Source organism: Homo sapiens, chromosome 4, assembly GCF_000001405.40.
Source record: "Homo sapiens chromosome 4, GRCh38.p14 Primary Assembly".
NCBI lineage: Eukaryota > Metazoa > Chordata > Mammalia > Primates > Hominidae > Homo > Homo sapiens.
Genome location: NC_000004.12, coordinates 41,353,250 through 41,368,831, shown reverse-complemented (window position 1 = coordinate 41,368,831; position 15,582 = coordinate 41,353,250). Strand labels below are relative to the sequence as shown.

General features: G+C 44.0%; 1 protein-coding gene across 39 annotated transcripts in view, besides 1 other annotated feature; it reads right to left on the bottom strand.

Annotated features, from left to right (window-relative positions):
• LIMCH1 (LIM and calponin homology domains 1) overlaps positions 1-9,225 on the bottom strand; it is a 340,438-nt gene extending 331,213 nt beyond the window's left edge. For 38 of the 39 annotated variants that reach the window (XM_011513642.2, XM_011513644.2, XM_011513646.2 and 35 more), the window contains exon 1: positions 7,896-8,025. In XM_011513642.2, coding sequence (XP_011511944.1) covers positions 7,896-7,991 — 96 coding nt within the window. In that variant the 5' untranslated portion in view covers positions 7,992-8,025. Of the gene's footprint in view, positions 1-7,895; positions 8,026-9,028 lie in introns of those variants that run through there. The other variant, NM_001289124.2, reaches the window with a different exon arrangement.
• Positions 5,347-6,008: an enhancer, noted in NCBI's record as "OCT4-NANOG-H3K27ac hESC enhancer chr4:41364841-41365502 (GRCh37/hg19 assembly coordinates)". NCBI's record gives its function as "activates a minimal SCP1, AML or CMV promoter by ChIP-STARR-seq in naive and primed H9 embryonic stem cells {active_cell/tissue: H9 hESC(naive and primed)}" and the evidence as "EXISTENCE:reporter gene assay evidence [ECO:0000049][PMID:30033119]".
• Positions 9,226-15,582: the final 6,357 nt, after the last annotated feature.

The window sequence follows — 15,582 nt, the reverse complement described above, 5'->3', positions numbered from 1 at the left end:
TCTTATCTGTGCCTCAGATGTAAAATGGACAGTGGATCATCATGCAAACTCTGAGTGGCCTGCAAGGAATATTCAAGAACTTCCGAGGCAGGTACCTTCACCCCCTGCCCTACCACCAACACATATCTACCTTCAATAGACCTAGAGAAATTTAAGAGTGTTTCTACCCTACCTTGTTTCAAAACACAATCATAATAAAAGTATGTGTAGCATCCAACGCAAGCCCTTTTCTCAATAAATCATCATCAATCAAATTCTCCTGCTTAGAATTCTTCCGTGGTCTTAGCTTAAATCTTATTTTCACTAAGAATCCTTGTCTTTTTAAAGAGTGCTTTTCTCTTAATCCCCCCTGCCCCATTCTTTGTCTTCATAGTATGTATTCCAAATCGTAATTATATATGTATTGTTTAATCTCTCTGTCCCCCTGCCACATTGTATATTTCATGAGGGCAGGAAGTATGTTTATTTTGTTCATTACCTAACACCATGCCTAACACTATGCTGCACATTGTTGGAGCTCAGTAAACACTTTTCAGGAAATAATTTTTGAAAGCACACTTTCACACATTAAAATATTAATGCTTATTTTTGCCACTGTTTATACTGAAGCAAACTTACAAATGAGTGATAGCCAAGTCTCCCAAATAATTATTTTCATATTTTAACAATTTGACTGAGCTTATTGTCGCTTTCATTCCATTTCAATTGGAATAAGATATTCAATTAAAATAAAATAATTGTTCAAAATATTTTTTAAACACTTCTGAGGGGAGAAAAAGATAGCTATGTACTCATTGCAATAAATATAACTTCAGTTCCTCACTTGGTGCAGACCCATTTGGTGAACATACTTGGCAAAAAAATAAGGCTGAGGAATTTTTTTTAACAGTTTTCAGTCATGGAAATGAAAAAGCTACAAGTCCTTCTGTTCTTGACCTTGATTTCTTTTTTTTTTTTTTTTTTTTATGATGGAGTCTCGCACTGCCGCCCAGGCTGGAGTGCAGTGGCGCGATTTTGGCTCACTGCAAGTTCCGCCTCCCAGGTTCACACCATTCTCCTGTTTCAGCGTTCCGAGTAGCTGGGACTACAGGTGCCTGCCACCACGCCCGGATGATTTTTCTTTCCTTTTTTTTTTTTTTTTTTTTTTGGATTTTTAGTAGAGACAGGGTTTCACTGTGTTAGCCAGAATGGTCTGGATCTCCAAACCTCATGATCCACCAGCCTTGGCCTCCCATAGTGCTGGGATTACAGGCGTGAGCCACCGCACCTAGCCGACCTTGATTTTAAAAGCAAGTGCAGGTGTATTCCTCCATGGCCTCCTAATGGGCTATCTAGGGGTGAATGGGTGGGGCAGTCCCTAACTTACACTGACCAGGAGGCCAAGCTGCAGCCTCCAACAGCCACACTAGAGTAACTCTCACAGGCAAAATGCAGGACAGTGGAAACATGGAGCTTTCCCAACCTAACCAATATTTTATTCTTAAGGTCTCAGCATAGAGCACAGTTTTGCTGACAGTGGGAAAAGGTATCAGCCAAGTTATTTCTTAGGTGCATTTTATATGACTATATCATCTGTCCTTTTCCTGATGCCAAAGGTAATTCCCTGAGATACACTAGCCATCCTGATATGGTTTGGCTCTGTGTCCCCACCCAAATCTCATCTCAAGTTGTAATCCCCACATGTCAGGACAGGGAGCCTGCAGGGAGATGACTGGATCACGGGGGCGGTTACCCCATGCTGTTCTCATGATGGTGAGTGAGTTCTCATGAGAGCTAATGGTTTTAAAAGCATTTGGCAGTTCCCTCTTCGCTTGCTCTCTCTCTCCTGCCACCATATGAGACCTGTCTTGCTTCCCCTTTGCCTTCCATCATAATTATAAGTTTCTTGAGGCCTCCCCAGCCACGTGGAACTGTAAGTCAGTTAAACCTCCTTTCTTTATAAATTACCCAGTCTCAGGTCGTATCTTTATGGCAGTATGTAAATGAACTAATACACATCCCATCAGGGTTAGATGCATGGGCATCTCTTTGGAAGTGTTGTTTTCAATATTGCAAACATGGAATTTTATCACAGCAGAACTGAATTCCACGGCATCATTCCTCCTTGAAATATAACATCTTATGTCCAGACAGAAGTCTTTCCAATATTCTATCATTTTTTTAAGAACTATTTTTCCCCTATATTATCTTTAGCCCTCTAGTTTAGGCTATTTTTATATTTCTCAATCACTTAAAACCAAAGTTCTATTATCCCTTCCTTTCCTGATTTAATAGCACTGAAGTCATCCTTTTATCTACCCTACCCTTCCTCCAAAAAAGATCATATCTGATACCTTTCTTCTGCCTCAGATGTAAACACACACACATCCTAAGGAACATATGAGGTGTTCTATTATAAAATTGTATTGTACTTTTTAAAAAATCTCAGAACAGTGAACTGGGCTTAAAAGGAAAACCTAATTCCAGTAAGAACAGTTTGGTCAAAAATCAACCAGTGTTAACTGATTCTGTCCTGAATCATGAAAATCAAGGCCAAAATACAAAATACAAAATGTATTTTGCGCCACTTCGAGGGGCCAACTGTACATAGACTTTAGCAGGCACATAATAAGCACCCAATAAATAGTACCTTTTATCATCAGCAACATCAGCATCATTAACATAATTTTTATCATCATGTTATCCCCCAACTATGATGCTTTTAAGCTTCAGAATGGTCTAAAGCAAAAAGAGAAGCTGCCAGGCCAATTTCTAGTACTCCTAGAGCTGCCTAGTCCCACCTAGCACTGACTGCCACTCACAGAATCAAGGCCAACTGTCTACATCATGGCTCTATTGTCATCCATCAGCAGAGAGCTGGAGGCCAAGAGACCCAGTGGCTGAGAACACATGCTCAGCCTTCCCTTTCTTGGTAGCCAGTGCTCAGTCTGCCCTTTGGAGCTCGCCTGATGCAACTGGTTTCCAGGGAGATGCCGGGGCAAGAAGTGCCAGCTCCACCTCCCATTCCGCATCCCCTTTCCCCAAATCTGTGGGACCTCACTGTTTTCCTACCATGTGACAGCATTGTGTCATAGCTGCTCTTGTATACAAACAAGCTAGACTATTTAAATGTCATTGTGAGAAAGATGCCGCCTGCTCTCATTTACATATCTATTCAGACCACTACTCCTTCCTTGATCTAGCCAGAAAAGTTTTTTCTTCCTCTTCCTTGGCAACTTATGCAAAGCTGGAGGACCATCTGCAAAGTTAACTACCTGTTGGGATAAAAAGATGTTAAGAATCTAGTCCCTACAGAGGTGGAGAATTAGAATGACTACATGTATAACTTATGGTATTACATCACAAAAGTCATATGTTACTGGCCATTAAATGCTAAATTATCTCAAAAGCTATTCATAAATTTTCCCTACTGCCAAACAACACAAGCATCTTTTGGTCTTGGAGAGCTATGATACCCTCAGTGTTTTTAATCTTCAGAATTAGGTCCCAGCTGAATAAGAAAACAATTCTATGTGGGCAGCAGGGAATGAACCAAAATGAGAAACTGATCCCTTCCAGCACTAGTTCTCACTCTTGTGAAGTATGGATTAGGTCACAAATAAGATTGTATTCATCACCAAGCCCCATGGGCACACTCTGATTGAAGGTAAAGGAGTCCAGGAACTTCTCAAGTTGAGAAATAAGGCTGAGTTGGGTTGAAATTTCCAGTCCCTCCCTAAAGGCCTGGGAACCTGTTCCAAATCATAACCGAAACCAAGTCGAAGGACATCTGTTTCTTCAGAAAGTGTTTGGCACTGAAAAGAAGAACCACAGATTAGAACAGATAAATATTGTTGTGGGTGGTGAGGCCAAGAGAAGCGGGGAATCAGGAAAATCAGAGTCATCTAACCTACTAATAAACTCTTGTAACTCAATAAATACCACCAAAAAAAAAGAAGGAAATAATAAAAGGGAGGAAGAGGGAAAGAAAATCAATGGAAGAATTCTTCTTATTCCTAGCAGGAGTTGACACAACCTCAGTGAATAAAATTCTGCTGCATTTAGATGAATATTTGGACCCATTATTTGTATAATGATTTAATATTAGATCATCTACAAGAACAAGAGGAGAGGCATTGAGCATTCTGCTTGGAGTTTGGTAACAAAGATTATACATTAAACTTACATATTCAGCATAATATTGAAGAATAATTTTCTAAGCTTTGATGGACTACCAAGATCACTTTATGAGTAGATATTAAAGGTTTTTCTCTGATCCCCAAGTCACTTTTAGTGCAAATTAGAGTGACATGTAGCATCTAGTTAACTTCGACTCCAGGTATCCAGAGTTAACAGAGTGAGATAATAGGATGAAATCAGTAGGCAATTGAATCATATTTTCTACCCGGGAAATCTGGTGTTCTGAATCATTTCTTTCAAAATCAACCTTAGTTGTTATTAACAACAGAAAAAAACAATAGCAATAGCAGTAGTAGTAATAATTATCATAATGATAATAGTAGTAGTAAAAGTAACAGCAGTGGTAATAATAATGGTAATAATACTACTAACCATACTTACACAGCACTTCCTATGTACTGGGCACTGTTCTAAGCATTTTAAATATATTAATTGATTTAATCCTGACAGCACTCCTATGAAATAGGTGAGCTGTTATTAGTATCCTGTTTTACAGATGCTCTCAATAATAACTCTTAGTCATTTTTGTTGTTGCTAACAACTAGAGCTATCTTCCAAAGAAATCATTTGGAACCACAGTAAAGGAAAAGTAGCTTGCTCAGGGTCATCCAGCTACAAAGTAACAGACTCTGGACTCAAACCTAGGATGCCCAGCTCCAAGGTCTGACCTCTCACCTACTGTGTTCTGCTTAGTAAGGCCTTCTAGAAAAGTAGTATGGAAAGAAGTTAGTCACTCCCCTGCCTGCTGGTAGCCACAGTTACTACTTCAAGTTTGCTGTCTCCTCTAGGAGTCTTCCCAAACACAGTTAGATGTGCAACCTGTTCCTACAGCTATAAAAAGTCACTAGGAGTGTTAAAGGGCTGTCCCCACGTGGTCTGTGACCATCTAGTGCTCCGTTAGAGCTTTCACCTTTGCCAACTAAGGAAGGAGTGAGGGGAAGGGGGCTGAAGTGGGGGAATCGTTCCCAGGCCACATTTCCTGCCCAGTAACACGGTCCTCAAATAGCCAAGGCTGCACGCCGAGAAATTCCTCACTAACAAGTTACGTCCTGGATCTGGTTCCCTGAGCCTTTATTAAGAATGAATGTTTTCTTGCCAATCCATGACTCAAGGAAGACCAAGAATCGAGGCGAGACAAGCAGCAAAGTTTGTTTATTAACTTGCTCCACCCAAGGGAACATTTTTATGAAAGGGTGAAATTCCTGACTACTCAAAAAGAAGAAAGAAAGAAAAAAAACCTATGGGAAATTTAATCACCAACTGAATAAAAGTAAAAACAAAGCCCTACCAATGAGGATGCTGCCAGAGACAATGGGGCCCCTAGAGGAGTTGCAATTGTCTCGAGATACCAATCCCCAATCCGCCCCCCCACCCGGGGATTCACTGCCCCTAAGTACTACATTATTGCTGTATTAGCTGAGGAATCTTTGTTCACAAGGCAACTGCATGCAAAACCATCTGTTACAACTTCTGGGTTCCCGTGGTTTGCAGACTCGGCATTTACATTTCAAGAAGAACCTCTGGGAAGGAAGGGGGAGGTCTCTATCTTTCCCCTGGAGCAATTACCTTTTTATATAGCCTGGGAGGGGGAAGCTCTCCTTTCCCTGAAACTGAACCCAACAATTGAAAGGAGATAGGCCACTTCAATAATGCACACGCAGCTCGCCTGGGCTGCCTGGTCCTAAAGCCACGCATGCCCCATTACGGTTTTCACATTCTTAAATTGGTATGAATGGTAAAGCATCAAGAACAATCCCAAACTGTCTATAGGGCTTAATGAGGTTCTACTGTCTTAAGGAATCCCTTCTTCCTTTTCTTAAACGTGATATTAAAGCTAATATTCTGCACTGCATAATAGCCTGAAATATACTACCACTTAAAAGCAAACTGTAATCTGGGCCAAAGGAGACATTTTGTATCTTGATTTAGGTGGGGGCTATAGTAATATACATATGTCAAAATTCATGGAGGTGTACACTTCAGATTTGTGCACTTTTACATGTGTAACTCATACCACAATACATTTTTAAAGCAGAATATGTCAATGATACAGTTAAGGAAATTGAGAATAAATCACTTGCCTTCAAGAATAGTAAAGACTGTTCTGCTTCTAGATCCTCCCCTTACCCCCACCCACACTCGAAGTCTCTCCTGAGAATTTTAGAGTTCAAGAACCTGAAAAATAGTTATCCAACTCTGCAATAAGCCAGTAACTACAAATGCTTCCTGTGTATCCTGGGAGCATAAGTACGCAACACAGGCAGAGCACCTGTCACACGCCAAACCGTTCCAGCCACATATCAAAAATAAAAAGCCAAGGTCTTTTTCTCATCTGATGGTGAGTTATCAAATTATGAGACATGCCTGGGGCTTTCAGCAAGACAGCCCTGATGTTCATTGTTCTGTTTCTTGAACCCTATTTTCAAACAGATGTTTCTATACTCAAGTAGCACTCTTGCTTGCGGGAAGCAGGTTAACCCTGTAGGGTACAGGTCTCTGGCTGGAGCAGGAGAGCAGCATTAAGTGAGGGTGGTTTCTGCAGGAAGCTCAGCAGGTTTAAATCTGTACGTGGAGCTCTTGTTACTCTAGCAGCTTCTTGGGAACCACAATGCTGAACGGAGTGGGGAGTCACTAAGTGACAGGCGGAATTCTGGAAGCTTCAACATTGCTGGGTCATGATTTAGCGATACACTTCCTCCTCTGAACTACCAGGCAAAGAGGGCTGCTTGTCACTGAGGGAAACAAGGCCAAATTCATACCTTCCACTAAGCCTCCAGAAAGGCCACCCATTGAAGCTGAGGCTCCTTGCACTAATCATAGGGGGTCACCTTTCCCCTTCATGCCCTTCAAGCGTCCTGAACCCCGCAGACAGTTCATTTCGGGAGCTCGGGGCTACCAAGCTGCATCTACTGATAGACATCGTGAATCAGGATCACCCAGTGAGCGCTTCCGGGACTGAGAGCCGAGAGCTCCAGTGATTTCCCTGGCCTGCCAACGAGTTATTTAAGAAGTGAAATATGCCAACCAGACCGGGTAGCCCGTACTTCGGAACCGACCCTGCAGTCCTTGGGATGGAGAGGGGCGGGGGTTGCCAAAGGCTGGGCAGCGTCTATGCGGATGCGTGCTCGCAGGTGGGTCTTGCAAGCTACCCCCGCCCTGCGCACTGTGCCAGCCTCACACCTGACCCGGTGCCAGGAATACAGCAAGAGGCTCCGGTGGGTATGCGCCTCCGTGAAGACACTGCCAACTCTGCTCCGGAAGGGTGCGGGGTAGGGGGACAAGGGGCGAAATGTGGGACCAGAAGCAAGATACCCCGAAATGCGAGCACCGGTGAAGTCTCTGGGGGCTCGCGCTTCCTGCGCCTTTGCAACGCTTTGCTAGCACTGCGCTTCCCTTGGCAGCGCCTGGAAGCGGCGCTAGCTGAGATTTGCGAGGCCAGCGGGCAGGAAGGATGGACGCGCAGGGGATCCCTTCCTGCCCTCACGCGCGCAGCTAGACTGCAGTGTCCCCTTTCACGCCCACCCTCGCCCGGGATTCCAATGCCAAAGCGCTAAGGTTTCGCGGCTCGCCGAGGCCCGGGGGGGTGACCTGGAGCAGCTGGCAAAAGAAAGTGGGGGCGGTTGGGGGGAGGCAAGGCTGGACCTGCGGTCGGAGCGTGCGCGGGTCCGTGGCTCAGGGCGCCAGTGCAAGGCCGCCCGCCAGCCACCCGCACCTACCTCAATCCACTTCTGCGCCTCGGAGAAGGCGGGCTCGGGGGGCGGCTCGGGCTGCAGGGGCTGAAGAGCTTCCAGACCGAGAGCGGGACAAGCCATTTGCGCAGCCCCGCGTCCTCTCAAGCGCCGGGATGAGGACGGCCGCCGCCGTCGCCGCCGCAGGAGCGCGCTCCCCGCCCCTTCCCGCCCGCCGGCCTCCCCTCCCCGCCTCTCCCCGCCCCCGGCCGGCGCAGGTCCCGGGAGAGCCGCGCGCTGCTAGAGGACGCCGCGGCAGCTGTTCCCGGCGCCGCCCGGGCTCCAACGCGCCGTGAGTGACCCGCGGGAGCGAGCGCGGAGGCGCCGGGAGCTTCTTCTCCTCCCCACCTTCGAGGGCCGCTCCGCCCCCGGGGAGGGGGAGCACAGCTACGGACTAAAAATAACCCGGAGCGAGCGCTGCGTGTCTCCCTCCCGTTCACACCCGGCCCGATAGAGGGAATCCGCTGGCCGCCCCGCACGTCCCTGCGCCCCGCCGGCTGCTGAGGGGCGGGCGGATGGGTCTGGCATCATATGGGAGACGCGCGCCCAGTGGGGCGCACCCGGGCCCGGGGGAGCGGGCGCTGCGGCACCGGAGCAGTAGGACGCGCGGGCACTGGCCGCGCAGCACCTGCAGTCCTTCCTGGCCGCAGAGGTAGGGGCAAGGCGGGGCAGCCCCTGGCCCGGCGCCGGGAAGTACACAGCCACCTGATCTTTTTGTAAGAAGAAAAAGAAAAACGACCCTGATGAGCTTTTCTTCTCCAGGAAGGCTACCTGTGTCCTAGTCTGTCGATGCAGTCAACCAACAGTCACTGTGCACCTACTATGCGTCAGGCACTGGGCCAGGCGCTGGGGACGCAGAGATGGAAACACACACACACACACACACACACACACACACCCTACACACCCTACCCACACACACCCTACCTGGAAGTCCTTGCCCTCGAGGTATCTACATTGTAGAGGGAATTGGGGGCCGGGACAGACAATAAACATGTAAATCAAAAGAAGATAATTGTGGCGGGTGTTGTTAAGATAAAAGAGGAGAAGATAATGACATGGAAAGAAAAAGCGCGGGGTAATTTCCGATAGCCTTCCCCCCTTTTGGCTGGGAGGCTGACCTGTGAGTCGCGGTTCCATTAACGGGAGGTAGGCAGATGGTCAGTGAGCTGAAGAGAGACGTGCATTTATTTATCTCGTCCCTTCCTGCAGGTGGTTAGGGGGTTTCCAGAAGGTTCCTCATCTCCTCTTGTCCCACTCAACCTCCCAGGCCTAGGTATGGTAAAGGCTTCCCCATCCCATAATGGTCTCCCGATCCGGCTCACTTCTTTCTAACCCTTCCTTTAAACTCTCCTTGGCCACTCCCACTTGAGCATGCCTTCTGTTTTGCACTACAGCCCAAGTGACGATCAAGGAAGGTGTCTGTAAGGAAATGTCCTGAAGAGGTGACATGAGTGAGGGAGATTTAACTGTGTAACAATTTGGGGGAAGAATTCCAGATGGATGCCAAGGCCTTAAGGTAGGAATGAGCTTCCCCGTGGAGGAGCCCACAGCGGGCCAGCAAGACTGGAGCTGGTGTGGAGAGCACCAGGCGGGAATGATAGCATGGGAGAGGCAGGCCAGGTCCCGCCTGCGGGTGAGGGGGCACACACTACCTTTTAGATTGTTGCCTGGGTATACCCTGGTAGGCCACCAGGGAGCTCTGACCTACGTGAGCCCAGCGCTGGGTCCGGAGGAGCTCAGTATTCTTGGCCTAACCTCAAGCTAATGGATTCCCCTCTTCAGAATGGCTGCTAACAAGAGGTTTCTGACGGTGGCTGGAGGTCCCTGGGTGCCTCAGCCTCTAAATCTCTGTTCCCCATCCAGAATCCGAGTTTAATCTTTGTCCAATTCTGCTGCTATAATAGGGGAATGGAACAAAAAGCAGGCCTCAAATTCCACCATTACCAGCTTTGGAGTCAGACAGGCTTTAGTTTATTTGCTTTGAAAACACTTACGTGGCACTTATACTGTGCCAGGCACTGTTCTAAGTGCATTACAAATAATTGACTAACTCAGTCCTTATTCCAGCTCTGTAAGATAGGACTGTTATCATCCCTACGAGGAAACCAGGGGACAGAGCTGGTGGACAGGGAGGGTTGGATTCAAGCCCAGACAGCCTGGCGCCAGATTTGCTCCTAACTGCACACCAAGCTGTCTTACCAGTCCTGTCCAGACTCCCACTTACAGTGTGTCCCTCAGTTTCCTCACCTAAAATGAGGTGGATATAGTCATCCAGCAGAATCATTGTGAAAGGCACGAACAAGGGGACTGAATGTAAACAGACCAAAGCTGGACCTGACAAACAAGCAGTTGCTGAGTACAGACCACTGATCCTCACCTCCACCCTGCTGTCCAAAACAGAGGGAGGGAAAAGTATACAAAGAAGAGATAAAGAAGGCAAGCATGGGAAAGGGCTAAAGACGTGTGGGCAGAAGATGACCTTGTTTCCATAAAGAAACATGGCAAAGCAAACAGTCCACAAAATGACTCTGGTACACTAATACAATATATGGCTTTGGGCAGTGATATGATCTGGCTCCATGTCCCCACCCAAATCTCATCTTGAATTATAATCTGAATTGTAATCCCTACATGTTGAGGAAGGGACCTGGTGGGAGGTGATTAGATCATGGGAGCAGTTTCCACCGTGCTGTTCTCATGGTAGTGAATGAGTTCTCATAAAATCTGATGGCTTAAAAGTGTCTGGCAGTTCCCTCTTTGTTCTCTTTCTCCTGCCGCCTTGTGAAGAAGGCACTTGCTTCTCCATCTCCTTCTGCCATGATTGTAAGTTCCTGAGGCCTCCCCAGCCATGTGGAACTATGAGTCAATTAAACCTCTTTTCTTTATAAATTACCCAGTCTCAGGTATGTGTTTATAGCAGTGTGAGAATGGGCTAATATAGGCAGGTTCCACTGCATGGAGTAACTAGGAGGAAGGGAAGCGAGCTAGCCCAGATGGTATATCTAAATCCATTTGAAAATGAGTATTAAATTTTATCATATCTCTAATATATCTGGCATTGAAATTGGCATTTAAATAAAACTTTTTTCCTTCAGTGAAAATACATTTTACATCTTTTAAGGTTTATAATCATAAGGTAACATTTGCTTTTTCTGAGCTTTTACCAATCACAAATTCACGCTAGCAAAGACCCACAGACTTAGAACCATAATAGAATTCAAACCTAGTGCTGCTATCAATAATATCCATAAATAGTTGTTAAGAACCTACTATGTGGAAGATACAGAAGAATCCACAAGGGGACACAGACTATGCCCTTTAGGAGCTAATAATTTTGTGTTTTTTTTTATTTATTTAAATTTTTAATTTTTGTGGGTATATACCTGGTATATACATCTATGAAGTATATGGGATATTTTGATAAAGGCATAAAATATGTAATAATCACACCAAAGTAAATGGCATATCCATCACCTCAAGCATTTATCTTTTGTGTTACAAATAATCCAATTATACTCTTTTAGTTTTTGTTTGTTTGTTTGTTTTTGAGACAGAGTCTTGCTCTGTCACCCAGGCTGAAGTGCAGTGGCTCAATCTGGGCTTACTGCAACCTCCACCTCCTAGGTTCAAGTGATTCTCCTGCCTCAGCCTCCCAAGTAGCTGGGATTACAGGCGCCCGCCACCACGCCCGGCTATGTTTTGTATTTTTAGTAGAGACAGGGTTTCACCATTTTGGCCAGGATGGTCTTGATCTCCTGACCTCATGATCTGCCCACCTTGGCCTCCCAGAGTGCTGGGATTACAGGCATGAGCCACCATGCCCAGCCTAGTTATTTTTAAATTTACAATTAAATTATTCACTATAGTCACCCTGTTGTGCTATCAAATACTAGATCTTATTTATTCTTCCTATTTTTTGTACCCGTTAACCATCCCCACTTCCAATCCAATCCCCACCACAACTACCCTTCCCAGCCTTTGGTAGCCATCAGTCTGCTATCTCCATGAGTTCAATTGTTTTAATTTTTAGCTCCCACAAATAGGTGAGAACATGCTAAGTTTGTCTTTCTGTGCCTGGTTTATTTCACTTATCACAATGACCTCCTGTTCCATCCATGTTGTTGCAAATGACAGAATCTCATTCTTTTCTATGGCTCAGTAGTACTTCGTAGTACTTTGTTAGTGAAATGATATTTTCATTTCTCTATAATGTAGTTCTTTCAAATATAAAAGTAATATGTGCCATTGGAGAAAATTTGGAAAATATAATGAAGAAAATAAATCTTGAAGAAACCCCACAATTCAGAGATTATCATGATTTGGGGGGTATGAAGTAACATTTTGGGGTTTTTTGTTTTTGTTTTTGTTTTTTTGAAACAGAGTCTCACTCTATCACCCAGGCTAGAGTGCAGTGGCGTGATCTCGGCTCACTGCAACTCCACCACCAGGGTTCAAGCAATTCTCTTGCCTCAGCCTCCTAAGTAGCTGGGATTACAGGCACCCACCACCATGCCTGGCTAATTTTGTTTGTTTGTTTGTTTGTTTGTTTGTTTGTTTTTTAGTAGAGATGGGGTTTTACCATATTGGCCAGGCTGGTTTCGAACTCTTGACCTCAAGTGATCTACCCAGCTCCCCCACCTCCCAAAGTGCTGGGATTACAGGGGAGAGCCACTGTGCCCGGCCAATTATGACTGGGAAAAAACCATAAGACAAAATACTATATGATAAGTGCCAAATTAGAGATGTAGTGTATTCAAAGAATATAGGTGGGTTGTTGGTGGGTTTTTTTGTTTTGTTTTGTTTTGTTTTTTTGGTAACAGCTTTATTGAGATGTGATTCACATACCCTACTATCCAGCTATTTAAAGTGTACAAGTCAATGGTTTTTAGTATATTCACAGAGTTGTGCAAGTATCACCACATTCAGTTTTGGCACATTTTTACCTCATCTGACTGAGCCCTGGCAACCATGACTCTACTTTCTGTCTCCATACATTTGCCTGTTCTGGACATTTCATATAAATGGAATCATACAATATGTGGCCCTTTGTGTGTGACTTCATGAGCATGATATTAAGGTTCATTCATGTTGCAGCATGTATCAGTACTTCGTTCCTTTTTATTGCCAAATAATATGCCATTGTATGGCTATGTATTTTGTATATCCATTCATCAGGTTTTTTTTTTTAGACAGTTTACATATATTTAGCACATTATTTGTAGCAAGAATCTAACACACATTTTGTCACTTAATCCTTACAATGATCTTATATGGTTGGTATACCCATTTATGTATTTATTTATTTATTTATTTTTAATTATACTTTAAGTTCTAGGGTACATGTGCACAACGTGCAGGTTTGTTACAAAGGTATACATGTGCCATGTTGGTTTGCTGCACACATTAACTCGTCATCTGCATTAGGTATTTCTCCTAATGCTATCCCTCCCCCCTCCCCCTACCCCACAACAGGCCCTGGTGTGTGATGTTCTCCACCCTGTGTCCAAGTGTTCTCCTTGTTCAATTCCCACTTATGAGTGAGAACATGCAGTGTTTGGTTTTCTGTCCTTGCGAAGGTTTGCTCAGAATGATGGTTTCCGTCTTCATCCATGTCCCTACAAAGGACATGAACTCATCCTTTTTTATGGCCACATAGTATTCCATGGTGTATATGTGCCACATTTTCTTAATCCAGTCTATCATTGATGGACATTTGGGTTGGTTCCAAGTCTTTGCTATTGTGAATACTGCCGCAATAAACATACATGTGCATGTGTCTTTATAGTAGCATGATTTATAATCCTTTGGGTATATACCCAGTAATGGGATGGCTGGGTCAAATGGTATTTCTAGTTCTAGATCCTTGAGGAATCGCCACACTGTCTTCCACAATGGTTGCCTAGTTTACAGTCCCACCAACAGTGTAAAAGCATTCCTATTTCTCCATATTTTCTCCAGCACCTGTTGTTTCCTGACTTTTTAATGATCGCCATTCTAACTGGTGTGAGATGGTATCTCATTGTGGTTTTTATTTGCATTTCTCTGACGACCAGTGATGATGAGCATTTTTTCATGTGTCTGTTGGCTGCATAAATGTTTTCTTTTGAGAAGTGTCTGTTCATATCCTTTGCCCACTTTTTGATGGGTTGTTTGATTTTTTCTTGTAAATTTGTGTAAGTTCTTTGTAGATTCTAGATATTATCCCTTTGTCAGATAGGTAGATTGCAAAAATTGTCTCCCATTCTGTAGGTTACCTGTTCACTCTGATGGTAGTTTCTTTTGCTGTGCAGAAGCTCTTTAGTTTAATTAGATCCCATTTATCAATTTTGGCTTTTGTTGCCATTGCTTTTGGTGTTTTAGTCATGAAGTCCTTGCCCATGCCTATGACCTGAATGGTATTGCCTAGGTTTTCTTCTAGGGTTTTTATGGTTTTAGGTCTAACATTTAAGCGTTTAATCCACATTGAATTAATTTTTGTATAGGTGTAAAGAAGGGATCCAGTTTCAGCTTTCTACATATGACTAGCCAGTTTTCCCAGCACCATTTATTAAATAGAGAATCCTTTCCCCATTTCTTGTTTTTGTCAGGTTTGTCAAAGATCAGATGGTTGTAGATGTGTGGTGTTATTTCTGAGGCCTCTGTTTTGTTCCATTGGTCTATATCTCTGTTTTGGTACCAGTACCATGCTGTTTTGATTACGGTAGCCTTGTAGTATAGTTTGAAGTCAGGTAGCATGACACCTCCTGCTTTGTTCTTTTTGCTTAGGATTGTCTTGGCAATGCGGGCTCTTTTTTGGTTCCACATGAACCTTAAAGTAGTTTTTTCCAATTCTGTGAAGAAAGTCATTGGTAGCTTAATGGGGATGGCATTGAATCTATAAATTACCTTGGACAGTATGGCCATTTTCACAATATTGATTCTTCCTATCCATGAGCATGGAATGTTCTTCCATTTGTTTGTGTCCTCTTTTATTTTGTTGAACAGTGTTTTTTAGTTCTCCTTGAAGAGGTCCTTCACATCCCTTGTAAGTTGGATTCCTAGGTATTTTATTCTATTTGTAGCAATTGTGAATGGGAGTTCACTCATGATTTGGCTCTCTGTTTGTCTATTATTGGTGTATAGGAATGCTTGTGATTTTTGCACATTGATTTTGTATCCTGAGACTTTGCTGAATTTGCTTATCAGCTTAAGGAGATTTTGGGCAAGACGATAGGGTTTTCTAAATATACAATCAAGTCATCTGCAAACAGGGACAATTTGACTTCCTCTTTTCCTAATTGAATACCCTTTACTTCTTTCTCTTGGATGATAGTCCTGGTCAGAACTTCCAACACTATGTTGAATAGGAGTGGTAAGAGAGGGCATCCCTGTCTTGTGCCAGTTTTCAAAGGGAATGCTTCCAGTTTTTGCCCATTCAGTTTGATATTGGCTGTGGGTTTGTCATAGATAGCTCTTATTATTTTGAGATACATTCCATCAATACCTATTTTATTGAGAGTTTTTAGCATGAAGGGCTGTTGAATTTTGTCAAAGGCCTTTTCTGCATCTATTGAGATAATCATGTGTTTTTTTGTCTTTGGTTCTGTTTATGTGATGGATTACGTTTATTGATTTACGTATGTTGAACCAGCCTTGCATCCCAGGGATGAAGCCAACTTGATCTTCGTGGATA